The sequence below is a fragment of the Homo sapiens genome, chromosome 7 (genome assembly GCF_000001405.40).
Source record: "Homo sapiens chromosome 7, GRCh38.p14 Primary Assembly".
NCBI lineage: Eukaryota > Metazoa > Chordata > Mammalia > Primates > Hominidae > Homo > Homo sapiens.
The window spans coordinates 45771269-45791659 of NC_000007.14; the positions used below are offsets into that span (position 1 = coordinate 45771269).

General features: G+C 44.5%; 1 long non-coding RNA gene and 2 pseudogenes across 9 annotated transcripts in view; 2 read left to right on the plus strand and 1 right to left on the minus strand.

Moving 5' to 3' along the window:
- Positions 1-20391, plus strand: part of GTF2IP13 (general transcription factor IIi pseudogene 13) — a 36002-nt pseudogene that overhangs the window by 2131 nt on the left and 13480 nt on the right. For 6 of the 8 annotated variants that reach the window (XR_007060308.1, XR_242174.5, XR_007060307.1 and 3 more), the window contains exons 2-8: positions 2296-2405; positions 3492-3623; positions 6919-7134; positions 8007-8072; positions 10227-10285; positions 11377-11878; positions 17451-17686. The product of XR_007060308.1 is annotated as a general transcription factor IIi pseudogene 13, transcript variant X6 (transcript). The other 2 variants (XR_007060309.1, XR_001745191.2) reach the window with 2 other exon arrangements.
- Positions 17444-17792, minus strand: LOC124901625 (uncharacterized). The gene is made up of 2 exons (XR_007060310.1): positions 17571-17792; positions 17444-17491 (listed from the first exon to the last, which is right to left on the minus strand). It is a non-coding gene; the product is annotated as an uncharacterized LOC124901625 (long non-coding RNA).
- Positions 18317-18420, plus strand: RNU6-241P (RNA, U6 small nuclear 241, pseudogene; annotated as a pseudogene).

Below are 20391 nucleotides of genomic sequence, written 5' to 3' on the forward strand. Positions count from 1 at the left end.
TTACAGGTGCCCACCACCACACCCAGCTAATTTTTTAAATATATTTTTAGTAGAGATGGGGTTACAACATGTTGCCCAGGCTGGTCTCAAACTACTGACGTCAAGTGATCCACCCACCTTGGCTTCCCAAAGTGCTGGGATTATAGGCATGAGCCACCGCACCTGGCTTGTTTTCAAATAAGGGTTTCTTGGCTAGGCATGGTGGCTCACACCTGTAATCCCAGCACTTTGGGAGGCCAAGGTCAGTGGATCACCTGAGGTCAGGAGTTAGAGACCAGCCTGACCAATATGGAGAAACCCTGTCTCTACTGAAAATACAAAATTAGCCAGGCGTGGTGGTGCATGCCTGTAATCCCAGCTACTCAGGAGGCTGAGGAAGGAGAATTGCTTGAACCCAGGGGGCAGAGGTTGCAGTGAGCTGAGATCGCACCATTGCACTCCAGCCTGGGCAACAAGAGCAAAACTCTGTCTCCAAGTAAAAAAAAGATTTCTTAAAATGATATTTTCAGTATTTTATAGATGATGTGTAAGCAGCAATCTTAATAGGATGTTAACCCGACACTTTGCGAGACTGGCAGCTGATTTGATCCAGATGTCTCTAATTCTTTTTTCTTTTTCTTTTTCTTTTTCTGTTTTTTTTTTTTTTTTTTTTTTTTTGACAGAGCCTGGCTCTGTCACCCATGGCAGAATGCAGTGGCACGATCTCGGCTCACTGCAACCTCCACCTCCTGGGTTCAAGCGATTCTCCTGCCTCAGGTTCCCGAGTAGCTGGGATTACAGGCGTGCGCCACCATGCCCAGCTAATTTTTTGTATTTTTGGTAGAGACAGCGTTTCACCATGTTGGCCAGGCTGGTCTCGAACTCCTGACCTTAGGTGATCTGCCTGCCTCGGCTTCCCAAAGTGTTAGGATTACAGGCGTCAGCCACTGTGCCTGGCCCAGATGTCTCTAATTCTAACATGAGATGTATTGCAGGATCATAGCAGAGTGAGTTGCTGATGTATCCAGAAGGAAACGAGCATGGACTCTCACGACAGCTGTCCTGAGAAGTGTGTGTGTGCTGTGCTTGGATATCTCACTGCTCATTTATACACAGGCTTTCTGGTGACTGAGTTAACAGTATCTGTTTCATAAATAATGTAGCCCTCTTTCTTTCTTTCTCTCTCTCTCTTTTTTTTTTTTTTTTTTTTTGAGACAGGGTCTTGCTCTGTTACCCAGGCTGGAGTGCAATGGTGCAGTCTCGGCTCACTGCAACTTCAGCCTCCTGGGTTCAAGCGATTCTCCTGCCTCAGCCTCCCAAGTAGCTGGGATTACAGGCATGTGCCACCACGCCTGGCTAATTTTTTCTTTTTTGTTTTTGAGATGGAGTTTCGCTGTTGTTGCCCAGGCTGGAGTGCAATGGCACAATCTCGGCTCACCACAATCTTTGCCTTTCGGGTTCAAGGGATTCTCCTGCCTCAGCCTCCCAAGTAGCTGGGATTACAGGCATGTGCCACCACACCCGGCTAATGTTGTATTTTTAGTAGAGATGGGGTTTCTCTATGTTGGTTAGGCTGGTCTCAAATTCCTGACCTCAGGTGATCTACCCGCCTCGGCCTCTCAAAGTGCTGGGATCACAGGCATGAGCCATCGCTCCTGGCCTAATTTTTGTATTTTTAGTAGAGAGGGGGTTTCACTATGTTGGCCAGGCTGGTCTCGAATTCCTGACCTCAAGTTATCTGCCTGCCTCGGCCTCCCAAAGTGTTGGAGTTACAGGCGTGAACCACCATGCCTGGCCAGCTCTATTTCTTTAAGACTACATGTTTTGCACTTGTTAAAAGTATTTGAACATACAATTACTCAGCTTCCCTTGTTTATGCTTGAATTTTGTATAATCTTAAATATTTTTTCCAATCTAAGCTTTATTTTATCCCGTTTCTTCTATATTTGTATAACTTTAGGTGGCTATCTTCATTGAAAGTTTTTTCTCAAAAGCCTTAAAATAGAACGTAGTTCTTGGCAGCAATTTGAAAGTTATTTGAGGAGAAGGGGAGACTTAAAATGATGATTCAAATGAAGCAAACTAAAAAGTAATAAAGCAAGACAGAGGAAAAAGCAGTATTCACTTGAGCACATCCCAAAAGAATAACATTTCAAATGTAACTAGAAAAAAGTATGCTGAAGTTCGCAATACAGAAATAATTATTAATAAGATAGCTTTAAAGCCCTGCTCAGCTTTTCAATGTTGGGAATTGACCCAGAGGTGGCTGTAACCTAAGATGGTTCCTTCAGTAATGACCATTTTTTCTTTTTCAAGATGATGATTATTCCCCACCTTCTGAGAGACAAAGACCAACGAGCCACCACAGCCACCAGTCCCAGAACCCGCCAATGCTGGGGAACGGAAAATGAGGGAGTTCAACTCTGGTAAGTTCTTAGCAAAATCCATGACCTTTTCCTTTATCTTCTGGACTCTCAGTGTGACTGATGAAAGTTACCACATGCTCTGCAGGGGGAAATGGTTTAGCATGTATTACTACGTCTTAATCACATCTTTGTAAAGCCAGGAGCATTTTGAAAGTCACGTTACAGACATTGTTTAAACATAGTCTGTATTTACCAAAGTATAGGACATTGTATCATCTCGTATTAATTAGTTAGTCGGCTCAAAATTAGTGCTAATGACTTAGTAATTCAGTGATTTCTGTTAGCTTTAAAACCTTTATTTCAGAACTATTTCACCTCTTGGTTTTCATTTTTGCTGTGCGTCACTGCCTGCCGGCTGCTAATTTATTAACTCCCAGTGAATCGTGTCCTGTGAAGGGACTGAATATTAGTGGCAAATTATGTTGATGATTTGTATTTTGAATAAATAGTTTGAATACATAGAACATTAAGCTTGTATACATTTTGAAAATAGTATTTTAATATTCTACTGTGTCATAGTCACAACGATTGGATATATATTGAATTTATATGTACTTTAAGTTGTTATATGTTTATGGTCTTTAGCATTCTAACATGCAATTGTGTATCTGTTAAGTCTTATTTTTTTTTCAAGATTACACTCTGATTTATTGAGGCATCTGTTTGATGCCACATTAAGTGGCCCAGGCTTTGTGTAGGGGTTGAGGTTAAAGCAGGAAGAAGGGTGGTGAGAGGCAGGGGTACCAGGATTAGGTTGGAATACCTGGGGGTGCTCTGAGGCTCTGGAATACCTGGGGGTGCTCTGAAGTTTCCCTGGTCTTGGCCGGCTGTGCTGCTGGCCAAGGCATCTGATGGGCCTGCAAGGTGGTCCAGGGGCTAGGGCAGGGACTTTGGAGTCACGCCGTTGGCTTTGAATCCAGACTCCTACACTTGGTAGCTGTGAACTCTCCATGCCTCAGGGACCTGCAGAACTGAGCTCTGTCTGAGCCAGTTTCCATCCAGGCACTGCGCATCCATCCAGAGGGGCACTGCCTCAGGTTGCTCACTATTCACTGCCTTCTCAAGCAGACCCTTGTCTCCTTCTAGGCCCTCACAATCCAGTGGAGGAGACGAAACTCATCTGCCTCTGTCCCTCTGGGCACGCTTCATGCCAGGTGCATCTGTGGACAGGGGCCATGCTCCTGGGCTTCCAAAGTTGGAGAAAGCTGCCAGGCTCAGGTGGGTACATCACAGCAGCTGCTGCCCTCTGGACACAGTGACAAAAGAACACTCTGGGCCTGGAGCCGTGGTCTGGGGCATTGGGCAAGGCTGTTGCACTTCTCTGAGCCCATTTCCCCATCTGGAAAGTGCACTGATTGTATCTCCCTGTGGGCACTGAGGGCTCAGTGTTAGTTTGAGAGCCAGCATCTGGGGTTTGGGCTGTAATTCCCCGTCAGCCCCATAGCTGCGGGGAACCAGGGACTTTGTTGGGATTACCCTAGGCATCAGTTTAGCTTCCTGTCCCTGGCTTGGGCTCAGCACCTGAAGTAGTCTAGGGGGTAGGTGGTCCTGGTGGGGGCTGGGGCTTTTCCCCAGACTGAGGTCACACCCAGAGCCAGAAATCTTGGTGCCTGCTCTGGGCAAAGGTGCCAGCCTGTGCGACAAGAGCGAAACTCCGTCTCCAAAACAAAAACAAAAAACCTTGCATCATTTCAAGGGGCTCACACCTCCCTAAGGGCCTGGTAATTGGCTGGCTCTGGCCTGCATCTAGCCCCGAGGGTGTAGGTAACACCCCACCTTACCTGGTTTCTTCCTGCCAGGGCCAATCTTCAGACCTCAGGACTTTGCAGCCTATCCCACCTCCCCTCTGGCCAGCCTCGAGCCGTTGTGGGTCCAGCACTTTTTCCAGGCTGTCTCCTGGTTGTCCTTCTGCCTTGAGGCCTGGCTCATGCTGCTCCCCTTCCCACTCACCAAGACCCACAAGGACCACTCCACACCCAGCTCAGCCCCATCCCCTCAGATAGTCCTCTCTCTTTCCTCAGGTGGCCAGGTGCATATCTTGGTGTGAGGACCTTCACTGTATCTGGGAATGCCTACTGGTCACCTCGGTGACAGAGACCAAGGCATTTACCTGATATGAGTGTCTTGGTTCATTGTCTACATGGCTAGGGAGGGAGTCAATAATAGGCTTTTCACTTGCTGCAAGGGCCGGTTCTCCTGGCCCCATGGCTCTAGGGATGGAGGACACTGCAGGAGATGCACCGCTCACTTCCCAGCTGAGGACTGTGGGTCATCTCAGGGCGATTTCACAGTCCCCACATGCCCCACCCCCTCAGCTCTGCAAATACCAAGCAGCGCAGCCTGCCTAGGGGATGATGGGCTCGAGAGTGCCCAGGTAGTGCCCAGAGTGCCCTTGGCAGGCCCCTCACCTAGCTGCTTCCACAGCTCTGTAGCAAGAGTTCTAAACTTTTTTGACCGTGAAGTCTGCTGAGAATAAGAGCTGTGGACTGTTTTCCCAGAAAGGCATGTATGTGCTCTCCACACAAAACCTTTCATTGTGGCCAAGCACAGTGGCTCATGTAATCCCAGAACTTTGGGAGGCAGAGCCATTCGGATCACCTGAGGTCAGGAGTTCAAGACCAGCCTGCCCAACATGACGAAACCCTGTCTCTACTAAAAATACAAAAAATTAGCCAGGTGTGGTGGCAGCCACCTGTAATCCCAGCTACTCCGGAGGCTGAGGCAGGAGAATCACTTGAACCCGGGAGGCGCAGGTTGTAGTGTGGTGAGATCACGCCACTGCACTCCAGCCTGGGCGACAGGAGCGAAACTCTGTCTCAAAAAACAAAACAAAACAAAGCCTTGCATCCTTTCAGGGGGCTCACACCTCCCTAAGGGGCCAGTAATTAAACCCCTTGGGCCTGAGGGTGAGAAACTTTGTCTCAGTTCTTCCCCGAGTGATCAGCCCAGGGGTAAGGAAGGAGAAGCCAGAAAGCAGGACCCATGAGAAGGGCCCACTCCTGGAGTTTGAGGCCCACTCCCTCCTGCCCCTGCCTCTCCTCTGTCCAGGACTCCTCCCTGCTCTGCCCCACTCCTGGGGCCATAACCATGGGGAGCTGTGGTTTTCTACAGGCTCCTGGGCACAAAGTGGGCAGGCTCACCTGGAGGCGATCAGAGCAACATGGCAGGAAGTGAGGGGGAAAGCCGCCCTGGAACTGCGCCTCTCTGCCCCCTGACGTCGCTGGCGTGCACTCCTCCCTCCCCTCACTCAGGCAGTGGCAAGAGTTCCATGTGAGCACTGTCCTGCTCCCTCTGCTGCCCTTTTTTTTTCTTGGGGCTACCATAACACTCCCTTCCCCAGCCCTGCCAACCTGGTGGGACATTGGGCTTCCCTCTCACAGGGTCCTGGGGACAGGCCCATCCTTTATCATACCCACAGAGAGACCCCTTTTTTTCTTCAGGACCTGGGGAGCAGCCAGGTTCCATGAGTTAAATGCAGATCTGAACCAAGCTGGGACTGGGGTACACACTCTCCTCTGCTGAAAAGTAGCTAGGGATTCCAACTAGGTGAGAAGGAGAGTGGGGCAGAGCCAGACCAGACAAGGACTGATCACCTGGAAAAAGCCTGCCATCAAAGGTCTTGGCAAATGCTGGGTGCAGTGGCTCACTCCTGTAATCCCAGCACTTTGGGGGGCTGAGACAGGTGGACTACTTGAGGCAAGGAGTTCGAGTCCAGCCTGGGCAACATGGCAAAACCCCATCTCTACTAGAAATACAAAAATTAGCTAGGCATGCTACACTCCTGTAATCCCAGCTACTCAGGAGGCTGAGGCAGGAGAATCACTTGAACTGGGGAGGCGGAGGTCGAAGTGAGCCGAGATTGTGTCCCTGCACTCCAGTCTGGGAGACAGAGTGAAACTAGGCCTCAAAAAAAAAAAAAAAAAAAAAAGAATATGGCCTTGGCAGAGAGGGGCCAGCCCGGCAGTGCCTTCCCTTGGGTTTCTCCTGGGTAGGCCTCTGCCATGAGGAGGCGCTTCCTTCTGCCTGTCCATGGCCCACAGCAATGGAATGTCTGCTTCTAGGGGTTGGGTGGGAGACTGCTGGCAGAACTGGAAACCTTCAGGTGGGGTTTTTTTGTTTTGTTTTGTTTTCGAGATGGAGCACCGCTCTGTCACCCAGGCTGGAGTGCAGTAGTGGAATCTCAGTTCACTGCAACCTCCGCCCCCCTGAGTTCAAACAATTCTCCTGTCTCAGCCTCCTGAGTAGCTGAGATTACAGGCATGTGCCACCATGCCCGGCTATTTTTTGTATAGATGGCATTTCGCCATGTTGGCCAGGCTGGTCTCGAACTCCTGACCTCAAGTGATCCACCAACTTCGGCCTCCCAAAGTGCTGGGATTACAGGCATGAGCCACTGAGCCCAGCCCCTTCAGGGGGTTTTGAGGCTTCACTACAATACTAGTTTCCTGTGGCTGCTGCAACAAATTACCACACACTTAGTAACTTAAAACAACCAAAATGTATTCCCTTACAGGTCTGAAGGCCAGAATTCTACAGTAAGTCCTACTGAGTCAAGGTGGGAGCAGGGTCGGTGGCTTCTGAGGCTCTGTGGGAGAATCTGTTTCCTGGCCGTGGAGGTGGCCTGCACTCCTCAGCTTGTGCTGCCCGTCTCGAATGACTGGAGTTTCCTGCTTCTGTCACTACACCTCCCACCCTCTCCATCACCTGCTCTGCTCTTATAAGGATCTGGGTGAGTACATCAACCCCAACAGCCAAAGACCCTTAACTTCATTATATCTGCAAAGCCCCTTTTGCCATATAAGGTCATGTTCACCAGTTCCCGGGATTAGGATATGGGCATCTTGGGGACATCAGCCTGCTACAGCTAGGCTGCAAAACTATTACACCCTCCTGGTGTTTCAATGATTGGGAGAAAAAGGGTTGGCATTTTTTGCTTAGGGGTCCCTCTTAAACTTATATCTGTAAGGTCTGGGGTCCCTCTTAACCTTGTGTTTGTTTTTGTTTTTTTGAGGTGGAGTCTTGCTCTGTCATCCAGGCCGGCAGTGGCGTGGTCTTGGCTCACTGCAACGTCTGCCTCCTGGGTTCAAGTGATTCTCTTGCCTCAGCCTCTTGAGTAGCTGGGGCTACAGGCTATATGCCCTGCTGTTTTGTATTTTTGGTAGGGACGGGGTGGGGGTGGGGCTAGGGAGGGGGTTTTGGCTATGTTGCCCTGAGCTCAAAGCGATCCGCCTGCCTCTGCTGCCAAAGTGCTGGGATTACAGGCCTGCACCACTGCACCCGGCTGCTGTAAAGTCTTATTTCACACAGCTGAGACATGTTTTAGGAAGTTTGCTGAAAGACTCCTGGAGACCTCCTCGTTGTGACCTCCCTGTTATTGTGTCTAATTTGATTGAACTTTTCTGCCCTCCTGCTTTTCAGCTTCTCTAATAGTCTCTCATTAAACCAATTCTAAGAACCACCAAAAAAGGGAAATCTTTTTTTGAAAGCAGTAAAATGATATGGACTGTTAGAATGTAAAATATATGAAATAAGTCATTATATGTTAGTGCTGCTCTGACATAGGGACGTATTATTGAGAATCAACTTTTGCTTGATTTTCAGAGAAATGGAATAATCGTATCGCTGATCTACGTAAACAAATTGAAGAATTGTCTGAAAGAAAGTATGGTATGTCTAAACTGGAAAAGTCCTGTAATCTTATGTTCATGGGCGTTTACACAATGGAGTTACTGTTCATCATGGGGGTACCGTGGACAAGCCCAGGGCTGCCGGCGAGTCATGCCATCCTTACACGTTTCTCCTTGTAAGGTGCTTTGTAGTGTCTACACACTTTGTTTCTAGATTGCTGCAAAGCTGAGGAAAAGTTGTATTTCTTTAATTATTAGTTAGCATTTCTTTTAAACTTTCAGTATGGAGATTGGAAATTTATTTACATATTTATTGCAAAGCCCTGGATCTTAGGGATTTCATTGAATTATTTATTTATTTATTTTTGAGACGGAGACTCACTCTGTCGCCCAGGCTGGAGTGCAGTGGCACGATCTCGGCTCACTGCAACCTCCGCCTCCCGGGTTCAAGCAGTTCTCTGCCTCAGCCTCCCGAGCAGCTGGGATTACAGGCGCCAGCCACCACTCCTGGCTGATTTTTGTATTTTTAGTAGAGACGGGGTTTCATGATCTTGGCTAGGCTGGTCTTGAACTGCTGACCTCCTGATCCACTCACCTCAGCCTCTCAAAGTGCTGGGATTACAGGTGTGAGCCGCCATGCCTGGCCAAATATTATTTTTTTAAATGAATTGTTTCTCTTAGTCTGCTTTGTTAAATTTGGAATTCATCTGGGCGCGGTGGCTCACACCTGTAATCCCAGCACTTTGGGAGGCCAAGGCAGGCAGATATCTAGGTTGGGAGTTCGAGACCAGCCTGACCAACATGGAGAAACCCCGTCTCTACTAAAAATACAAAATTAGACGGGCGTGGTGGCGCATGTCTGTAATCCCAGCTATTTGGGAGGCCAAGGCAGGAGAATCGCTTGAACCCAGGAGGCAGAGGTTGCGGTTAGCCGAGGTTGCACCATTGCACTCTAGCCTGGGCAAAAAGAGCAAAATTCCATCTCAAAATAAATAAATAAATAAAATGTTCAGTACTCACCAAGGTGCCCCTATTGTCTCTACTTTTATCTTGATGCATCACTGAATTGATGTTAGATTTCAAACTCATCATTGCCCTTATACTATTCTATTCTGAAGCCACCTTTATATAATGTTGAAAGAAATTAGTGATTTGTTATTATCCTCTCTCTGTTGGTATACATCAAATGCTCACCTAAAAAGAGCAACAACCAGTGGAAAACACATGATGTTTTTATTTGGATGACTATTTACTTGTAACCTACTAGCAAACTATAAAATTGTATGATATGCACAATTTTAACTGAATTGCTTTAAGTGAACATTTAAACATGATAAACCATATTGATGGTATTTATGTTAATATACTTAAAATGAACATTTTTCTTCATCATGAGTAATATAACCTACTTGTCAATGAAAACCTAGCATTAAATTTGCTAATGAATTCAATAACATTTTCATAATATTTTTAGTTACATGCTTAAGGTTCTCTTAGTGTTTCTCCCACTTTTTAATAGCTTAAGCCTTTTTCGCCTTTGGGTTTTTTTGGTTCATTTTAAAGCAAAAATCTTACAACATGTGATACCTGGAAACACTGTAACCTAGTGGTAAGACCATAGGCCCTGGGGACACAGGCTGGCCATGTCTCTTGTCCTGTCTGAGCTTTAGTATCCTCTTTTGTGGTCATGAGAACTGAAGATCTGTCCCAAAGATTTGATAAGATAGTAAAGTGCTTCACATAATACCAGACATATAAATATACACTAAATGCTTCCTCCTTATATTTTTATTGATTGATTGATTGAGACAGAATCTTGCTCTTTTGCCCAGGCTGGAATGCAGTGGCGTGATCGTGGTTTCTGCAGCCTCCACCTCCTGGGTTCAGGCAATTCTGCCTCAGCCTCCCGAGTAGCTGGGATTACAGGTGCCTGCCACCATGCCCAGCTAGTTATTGTATTTTTAGTACAGACGGGGTTTTACCATGTTGGCCAGGCTGGTCTCGAACTGCCGACCTCATGATCTGCCTGCCTCGGCCTCCCAAACTGCTGGGATTACAGGTGTGAGCCACTGTGCCCAGCCTGTCTTTTCTCTTCACACCCACAGTTCATGATGAAATATTAAATATGTACTAGTGGATATTACTTTGCTGAATATTGCCTAGTGAATATTAAGTATTTATTCTCACCTTTCAGACATGAACTTATGAATTCAACAGGTGAAGATTTACAACTTGATAAATCAGCTTCGTGAGGTACGTCTTCAGTCTTAAGTCAGATTAGAAGATTATGTGAAGTAATTAACACTTAACATTGATTTAATGGTAGCTTCCACATGAAATAGTATGCCTCTAAGTATTAATTATGTCCTAGGACAGGAGAATTCATGTTGTCAAAATTCTCATACTCTCTAGAACAATAAACTCATTTTCTTTTTATTAGTAAATATTGCATTTATGGGTAGACAAAACTGAAAGAACAATATTTGTTCTACTTTTGAGATGCAAGATTCATCTGGCATAATGCATTGAACAGGTTATTATTGAAGTCTACACCAGTCAACTGAATAAGCATTCATCAAATGTCCATGATATGCAGGACATAAGTTTTCTTTTAGAGTAGGGAACCATGCATATTATCTTGTAATTAGATGATTTAGTTAGATATGTTTTTAAAGAAATAGAAATATAATTGATTTTCTTGTTTTGGCTCTGGAGTGGGGACAAAACGGAATGGATTCACACTGTTTAGATTTACTAAAATGGAAGGATTGCAGCAAGATCATATCCCTAGTCTCCCTGTAGCAAATGTCACCTGCTAGCTGTTTTTTTTTTTTTTTTTTTTTTTTTGTAAGTTGAAGTTTTGTTCTGTCGCCCACGCCAGAGCGCAGTGGTATGATCTCAGCTCATGGCAAGCTCACCTCCTGAGTTCAAGCAATTCTCCCTGCCTCGGCCTCCTAAGTAGCTGGGATTACAGGCCTCTGCCACCACGCCTGCCTAATTTTTGTATTTGTAGTAGGGTTGGGGTTTCACCATATTGGCCAGGCAGGCCTCGAACTCCTGACTTCAGGAGATTCACCCGCCTCAGCCTCCCAAAGTGCTGGGATTATGGGTGTGAGTCACTGCACTTGGATTTAATGGGATATTTCACTACAGACTTTAGTAAACAGAATATTAGCATTTTTGGTGTTCTTTTTATTTTACTCATACTATTTTTCTTTGGACTCAATCACAATAACAGAATTAAAGATCAAAGTGTAAAAGTTAAAGACCAGTACAGATTCAATAATTATTCTTTTCTACATATTGTGTTTAAATGATATCCCTTTTTCTTTTTGTTCTTATAGCTCGAGCTGTAAAAGCCAAAGGTCCGGTGATGATCCCATACCCTTTTTTCCAGTCTCATGTTGAAGATTTTTATGTAGAAGGCCTTCCCAAAGGAATTTTTTTTTTTTTTTTTTTTTTTTTTGAGATGGAGTTTTCGCTCTTATCGCCCAGGCTGGGGTGCAATGGTGCAACCTTGCTGGTCACTGCAACCTCTGCCTCCTGGGTTCAGGAAATTCTCCTGCCTTAGCCTCCCAAGTCGCTGGGATTACAGGTGCCCACCACCACACCAGGCTAATTTTTGTATTTTTAGTGGAGATGGGGTTTCACCATGTTGGCCAGACCAGTCTTGAACTCCTGACGTCAAGTGATCTTCCCGCCTCGGCCTCCCAGAGTGCTGAGATTACAGACATGAACCCATGCCTGGCCAGGAATTTTGTTTTTTAGGAAGGCTTTCTACTAATGGAATTCCTGGCCTTGAGAGGATATTACTTTCGAAGGAAAGGATTTTTTTGTTATTAAAAGGTAAGATTCTTGGATTCTTATTGGATTGTTATCTCTGTTAGGAGTAATTCATCTTTAGTCATTCACCACTAGGGTTGTATTTAATTAAGTCTGAGTTATTTTATGGTGGTTTTGTTTTGTTTTGTTTTTACCAAATTTTGTTCTCATTGCCCTGGCTTGAGGGCAATGGTGTGATCTCAGGTCACCACATTCTCTGCCTTCTGGGTTCAAGCAATTCTCCTGCCTCAGCCTCCTGAGTAGCTGGATTTACAGGCATGTGCCACCATGCCTGGCTAATTTTTTGTATTTTTAGTAGAGATGGTGTTTCACCATGTTGACCAGGCTGGTCTAGAACTCCTGACCTTGGGTGATCCACCCGCCTCGGCCTCCCAAAGTGCTGGGATTACAGGCATGAGCCACTGCGCCCAGCCTGGGCCTGCTTCTTTCTCTTTTTCTTTTTTTTTCATTAGCAGCTTAAAATTGGTGCCTTATTCAGACACAAGCAAAAGGACATTAGCCCAGCTTTGGAAATAGGTGTGAGCCCATATATGATCTTCCTAGTTTCTCCTCCCCCTTTGCTTTTTGCTCTCTTGTTAGTATGTTAATTGTTTTCACTCTCTGAATCTTTTTTCCCCATTTCTTTGGCAGACATTTTTACTTGTCTTGGAAGAGTAGGCGAAGAGCTGTTTTTAGGACTCTTTGAAAGGGTACAGTATGGGTGACAGTCTTGGCTAATGGTAACATCCAGGGAGCTGGGGTCAGCATGAGCTGGAATCAGTTCAAATTAGCAAAGCACTGGCACTCAGTGGCAGGAATACAAGTGACTGCAAAGTGTTAAACACATCTGGAAAGGGATACTGACATCATCCTCAGAATCTGTGGGGAGTTCACATAGCCAGTTAAGACCCATTCCTCTTTGACCCTATAAAGATTCTTTAAAGAATAATACCCTTAGTGGTTTTCTAGCCAGCTTGCCTGCTCATTTATCTTTGAGGACAACATGCCTTGTGGAGCTCCACAGGCCCCAGAGGGGTATGGATTCTGCATTCGAAAGTGCTGAAGCTGAGAGACTGGGTCTTGGTGGACCCCAAGAGATCTGGTTCTCCTCTACTCATTGTTCCTTCTTTTCCCAGCAGCTGGCATTGCTGTTTAAATGGGTTGTTCTTTGCTGTTTTAAGTTGTTTCATAGTGGTGTGTCAGGATTTGGGTTTTCTGAATACTTTCCAAGCTGATGACTTGAGTGGTGGTTAGGGAGGAGATGTTTTAGGGCTGTTCTGGAGCTATTGAGGTCAGGTGTCTAGATACTCCCAGCTTGTCTGTTGAGGAGAATGCTGTTCTCATTGTGCTGCCTTTGGTGGTACTGTGTGTGGCTCTTTAGATGTGGGTGGAGGTGAGCTGGGGGAGTTAATGAGATCTTTTTTAGGTGCTTTTGATAAAGTAGCCTGCACTACAGGATTCATTGTGACTTTTTTCCTTAACCTGTGCATTTCTCTCTGCTAGCTTTTGCTGTCTTTCTCATGCCTTTGATTTTCCCAGCTCCTCTTGGTTGAATTAACATAAGTGCTCTGCTATGGTTTAAATGTGTCCCCCAAAGTTTATGTGCTGGAAACTCAATCCTCAATGCAACAGTTGGGATGTGGGGCCTAATACAATAGCCTTCATGAATGAGTTAATGTTGTTATTGTGGTAATAGATTAGTAATCATAGAGTGGGCTTATTATAAAACAGAGTTCAGCCCCTTTTGCCCTCTTGCTTTCTTGCACTCTCTTTTCCTTTTGCCTGCTGTAGTGGGATGATGCAGCAAGAAGACCCTTACCAGATGCAGGCCCCTCAACCTTGGACTTCCTAACATCCAGAACTGTTAAGAAATAAAATTTATTTTTTTCCTTTTCTTCCTCCTTTCCCTTCTCCTCCCTTTTCTTCCCTTCCCCTCCCTCCCTCTCTCCCTCCCTTCCTCCTTCCCTCTTTCCCTCTTTCCCTTCCTTCCTTTCCTTCCTTCCCTTCCTTCCTTTCCTTCCCTCCTTCCCTTTTTCCCTCCTTCCTTCCTTTTTTCCTTTTTATAAATTATGCAGTCTGTGGTATTCTTTTATAGAAGCATGAAATGGACAAAGACAGACTCCATTTTCAAGAACAAGCACTTTTGTAGTTTCTGAGCGAATTATGACTGTAAAGGAAGTTCTATAGGTAGCCTCAGATCTACTACCTAGGAAGCATGCTACCAAGCAGACCTAGGATCTAGGATTTGATCAAGTGCTGGGCAACATGATACCTCTGCAATTTAGCACCTCCCTATATACCTCCAGTTGGCTCAGCCCATCAGGACTAAAACTACCCCTCATATCCTAGTGTCTCTTGTAGGCAGAAGCCTTGCCTAAACCCTAAGCTGCTTGGCTCACATTCTGTCTTGTGCTTTTTTTGTAGGGGTTCAAATATACACAAAAGAAATGTGTTGAACCTCCATGCACCCAACCCGCAGATTAAGCAGTTACCTCCATTTTTCCAGATTTGTTTCATCTGCTTCAATCTCCCTAAAAATTTGTGTTTGTACAGGAAAAACTGAATAAATAGCTAATTCTCCACCCTACCTCTCATCTTAAGTCACTTTTCAGAGTAGTAAGTTAGTGACCTAGTAACCTTCCCTCTAATGACCAGTAGTTTTTTTTCTGAATACCATTATGAACTCACAGATTATTGTTTGCATTTGATGTATTTCAGGCCATTGCAGTCTTTATTGTTTTGGATGCTTACATTGTCTCATCCAGGTTAATAATTATCTCTTCAAGTTGACTTTCATGTCTTTTTGACGTGATGTCTTTTGGACTTTGATGGCTTCCTTGCTTTCTGGCAAACAAGATGTTCCAGGATCAATATACTGCACCATACATGGAGTCAGCCATTTCTCTAGGGAACCTTGATTCCTTTTAGTAGAGAACACAGTTTGAGGTCTTGGACTGAATGACTTTTGTGAACCTCCTCTCCTGAGACTACAGCCTGCCTCCCTGCATATAGCCCGTTAGGAGCTCTTGCTGGGCACCAACAGATCTCCTAAAACTGCTATATAGTTCTGCCTCACTCTTACAAAAGATTCATCTCTTGGGAGTTTTGTGCTCTACCCCCAGATGTGGTCTTTCTGGTTCTGAAGCTTTTGCTTCAGTCACCCTGAATTTTGCCAGCCCTATGCATGCTATACCTTGGATTGCCAACTTGCCCTCACTGAAGCCAGTTTCTCTGGTTAGAATAGTTGCCCCAACCCATGCCTAATACTCTAGTAAACAAGGTTCTACCTGGGCTTAGGTTAACTTTTGCTCCTTTGGGCCCTGTGTTCTACCAGCATTCCATTTATCTGAAACTCTCCCTCACCTTAAGAACCTATCTGTTCTTTAATGATTTACTGCTGCTTCCTGGGTTCAAAAGAACCCAGTTCAGGAGTTTCTGTTTTAGTTTGAGATCTTATAGGCCTGTCTCATCAGGTTGGTGTCAGCCCAGCTAGGATTAGGCAGAATTGGGTGGGGGCTGTAGTGCATTTTTTGCACAGCATGTACCTGTCTGACTAATTCTCTGTCTTTTCTTTCCTTTTGCAATTCATGGGTCTTAGCATCTTCTGAATGGTGTTTAGTAGGTCATCCTGTTGATTTCCTGCTAGGGAGTAGCATACTCTGGCTCTGTACCATTGGCCAAGGGACTTAAGGATAGATGAAGGGCTGCAGTTTTGTTAAATGGAACAATATGAAGAGATGGCATTGTAAAAAAAAAAAAACAAAAAAAAAAAACAAACAAACAAACAAAAAAAACGCTTGGCAGCAGGGCCCATTTGAATGGTTGGTCCTTGGCTCCTGTGTTGATATAGGCAGATCCTTGATGGGAATTTGGAATGATCCCAAATATTGTAGATCACTGGTACATCAAGTCATCCTCAAGGTTGTCTGTGTAACAGTCTTGAATGATATTTTATCAGTCTTTGGAGATTCTCTGTATAGGGTTTAATCATTTAGTTATTTCAGTTGAGCCTGTTTAGTTTCTTTGCAAGGAGATAAGAAATGTGAAAGAGATGCAGACATTAGGGAAAAAAGTCAGGAGCCTTGTTTCCCCACCCTCTACTTGGGTTCTGGAACTGGACTCATAGGTGAGTAGTGAGGAGCTGGGCCCAAGCACATTAATCCTAGATCTAGCTCTGCTTTGCGCTCGCTCCAGTTCTTGTATCAAATTCACTTCAAGCCACCCAGAGTAGTATGTAGAGGAGTCATTCAGGACCATGCTTATACTTCATTATATCAAATGGGAGATCCAGTAATTTATAGCCTGTTATTTCTGGAGTCTGGAGATGGCTCTGCATAAGATTTGCTGAAGCAAATTTTATTACATTAGAAGAGAACCTAGCTGGCTGCATCCTACACTGGAAGCTTTTAGATGCTAATAAGGAGGTCATGTAAAGGTCACAGAATGACTCTGGAATCCATTCCCCACCAAGAAAGAATAATGACATTCTATGTTGGCCTCTTTTCATTTCCCTTTGATTTTAAGTAATAAATTCTCTCCTCACTTCCCAGCTGAACGGTTTGGGAGTCTCTATTCCCTAGAAAGACTCTGGTCACATACCCATCAGATTAAATTAAGTGAAAACTCTTTGGCCTTCATGAATGTTGAAGGATTTCAAAGGGCTAATGGAAATTCTTCTAGAAGTAACTGCAACGTCCGCCTTCCGGGTTCAAGCGATTTTCCTGCTTCAGCCTCCCGAGTAGCTGGGATTACAGGTGTCCACCATCATGCCCAACTAATTTTTGTATTTTTAGTAGAGACGGGGTTTCACCGTGTTGGCCAGGCTGGTCTAGAACTTTTGACCTCAGGTGATCCGCCCACCTCAGCCTCCCAAAGTGCTGGGATTACAGGCGTGATCCACTGCGCCCAGTTAAACTTCAGTTTTTCATGTTCCATGCATAGGTCAGGGTCTTAGGGAGTGATTCATTCTAGCAGAACTCCCTGGATTTTAAGGCACGTGTTCCATTTATTAATTGACAAAGGAGGCATATTTCTCCCCTGGTAACCCAAAGATTTAGGTCATTTTCCCAGAGACTCCATTTCCACTGTGAGGGTTCTTGGAAAACTAAGCAGAGGATGAGGAAAAGTCTGTAAACAAGCTTGCTGGTCTCTCCCTATCCTACAAAAGAGCATACCTCTTCTGTAACCAGAAGGCCCTTTTGATTAGTCAAGGCTGGACAGACTGAGATTAGGGGGGTGTGTGTGTGTGTGTGTGTGTGTGTGTGTGTGTGTGTCTTGAGACAGGGTCTCACTCTGTCACCCAGGCTGGAGTGCAGTGGTGAGATCAGAGCTCACTGCAGCTTCCACTTCCTGGGCTCAAGCGATCCTCCTATTTCAGCCTCCAGAGTAGCTGGGACTATACGAATGTTTTACCGCACCCAGTTCATTTTCTAATTTTTTGTAGAGATGAGGTTTCACTGTGTTGCTCAGGCTGGTCTTGAACTCCTGGCCTCACGGGATCCTCCTGCCTTAGTCTCCCTGTGGGCTGGGATTATAGGTATGAGCCACCTCACCTGACCTGCGACGATTTTTCAACAATGTAATTTCTCTTTTACAGAGCCACCTAAGCTGAAGATTCCCTTGAGAACAAGTACTGTCCTGTGGTTTCATGGCCTTTCTTCCATTTGTGGTTCTTGTGAAGTGGAATTTAAATGACATCTTATCAAGATGGATAAACCCTAGTTTCCCAGTGCTGGAATATAGAAAATGGATGGACAAGTAAATCCCACTCATCACCCATAGTCCAGGCATGGGGACCTCAACACACCTGAGCCCCAGACATCACCTTTCATTGTGAGTAGCTCTGAGATGACACTTCTGCTGTTCCCAATTCCAGCATTAATTGGATTAGATAGTTATTTTATGAAGAATTTTCATATGCCACAATCCTGACCATATCTTCAAGTGAACAGAAAAATTCTATTAAAAAGTCAACCTTCTGTCTCACTCTGGTGCCCAGACTGGAGTGCAGTGGTGCAATTATGGCTCACTGCAGCCTCAACCTCCTGGGCTCAAGCAATCCTCCTGCCTCAGCCTCACAAGTAGCTGGGACTACAGGTGCTTGTCACCACACCTCACTAATTTTCCCATTTGTGTTATATGTGGATTCCACAGGACTGACTTCGAAAACTTGAATATGCATGGATTTTGGTATACACAGAAATGGGAGAGCTGGAGCTAATCACCCCATATACCAAGGGACAAATTGTATCTGTTTTTACAATTATACTGTAGGAGACATTATGTTCCATGACAATGGTAGTTTTTAATGACAATTTTTAATTGAGTGAAATTACCATAAAAATAATAATAGTAGCAGCTAATATTTACTGAGCTGTTACTAGATGCCTATAAATAGCATAGATTTTTAAATTCTCCATAATTCTTCCTTATTTCACTTAACCACTCTATCTTAAATTACTCATGCTTGCCTCAGTAGCACACATACTTAAGTTGGAACAATAGAGAGATTGGCATGGCCTCTGTGAAAGAATGACATGCAAATTTGTGAAGCATTCCATATTTTTTAAAAAAAAAGAGGAAAAAATTACTCCCAGATTTTCACCGTGTTTGTGCATGTGACCTTTTGTTTAGGTTGAATTATATCCAAAGATGAAATTTCCAAAAGTGAGATTACTGTGAGTCACAGGGCATGAGCATTCTTATTACCCTTGATGTAAATTGCAAAGTTTTCAGGCATGGTGGCTGTCAGCCTGTAAGTCCAGCACTTTGGGAGGCTGAGGTGGGAGGATTGCTTGAGGCCAGGAGTTGGAGGAGGCAGTGTAATGAGTCACTGTCTGTATGATTTAAAAAAAATTTCCAAGCTCTATCCTGGAAGGCTTATATACATTTTAAACACCACTAGTACTACAAGAAAATGGCCATTTCACTGCACCTTCGCCCACACAGGTATTATAATTTAACAAGTTATTTTCTGTGTGATAAATGAAAGACCTCATATTATTACTTTGTCACCCATTTTTTTTTTTTTTTTTTTTTTTTTTTTTGTGAGATGCAGGCTCGCTCTGTCAACCAGGCTGGAGTGCAGTGGTGTGATCTCGGCTCACTGCAACCTCTGCCTCCCAGGTTCAAGCGATTCTCCTGCCTCAGCCTCCTGAGTAGCTGGGATTACAGGCACATGCCACCGTGCCTGGCTAATTTTTGTATTTTTAGTAGAAATGGGGTTTCACCATGTTGATCAGGCTGGTCTCGAACTCCTGACCTTGTGATCTACCCGCCTCGGCCTCCCAAAGTGCTTGATTACAGCTGTGAGCCATGCGCCCAGCCTATTTGTCACATATTTTATCTTTCCTTATGTTAGCTTATTAGCTTTATTTCTTTATTGTCCTTTTTTTTTTTCTGAGATGAAGTCTTGCTCTGTCTCCTAGGCTTGAGTGTAGTGGCACAGTCTCAACTCACTGCAGCCTTGACCTCCTAGGCTCAGGTGATCCTTCCACCTCAGTAGTTGGGACTATAGGCACGTGCCACTATGCCTGGCCAATTATTTTTATTTTTTTATTTTTACTAGAGACGAGGTCTTGCTTTGTTTCTTAGGCTGGTCTGGAACTCCTGGCCTCAAGCAATCCCCCCACCACCCCCTCCCAAAGTACTGGTATTATAAGCATGAGCCACCATGCCTGGGGTATCTGTGTCTTTTCCATTTATTTATAGAGTTACTTTGTCTTTTACTAATTCAATGATCTGTTTAATCTTTTATTAAATTATAAAAATAGTAAATACTTTTAAATAAGTGAAAAATTTCCTTCACTCTTTAGACCCATAATCTTATCTCAGGAAATAATTGCTATTGAGAAAATGGGCCATATCCTTCAAGATACGTACATGGTGATTGAACATCACTTCACATTTTCATATTTTGTGGACATTTGTGCCAATACCTATTGATCTATCTTAATCTTTTTCATGGTTGCATAATATTTTATTATATGGATGTATCACAATTTACCAGTACCAGTCAACTGCTGGAGGCATTTAGGCTCTTTCTAATATTTGCTTTGAGCTCTTTATATAATTAAAAATTAACCCCCTCAGCCAGGTGTGGCAGCTCATACCTGTAATCCCAGCACTTTGGAAGGCTGAGGTGGGAGAACATCCTGAGTGTAGGAGATCACCACCAACCTGGTCAACATAGCGACACTTTGTGTCTACTAAAAATTAAAAAAAAAAAATGAGCTACATGTTGCAGTGCACACCTGTAGTCCCAGCTACTGGGGAGGCTAAGACTGGAGGATCACTTGAGTCTAGAAGGTTGAGGCTGCAGTAAGCTATGATCACACCATTGCACTTTAGCTTTGCTAAGAGCAAGACTGCATTTCTTAAACAAAATAAAAATTACATGGGAATATTGCTCAAGCCCTGGAGGTTGAGGCTGCAGTTAACTGTGATTGCACCACTGCAGTCCAGCCTAGGCGATAGAGCAAGACCCTTTCTCTAAAAATAAAATAAAAATTAACCTTCTATCATATTTCTGAGTAACA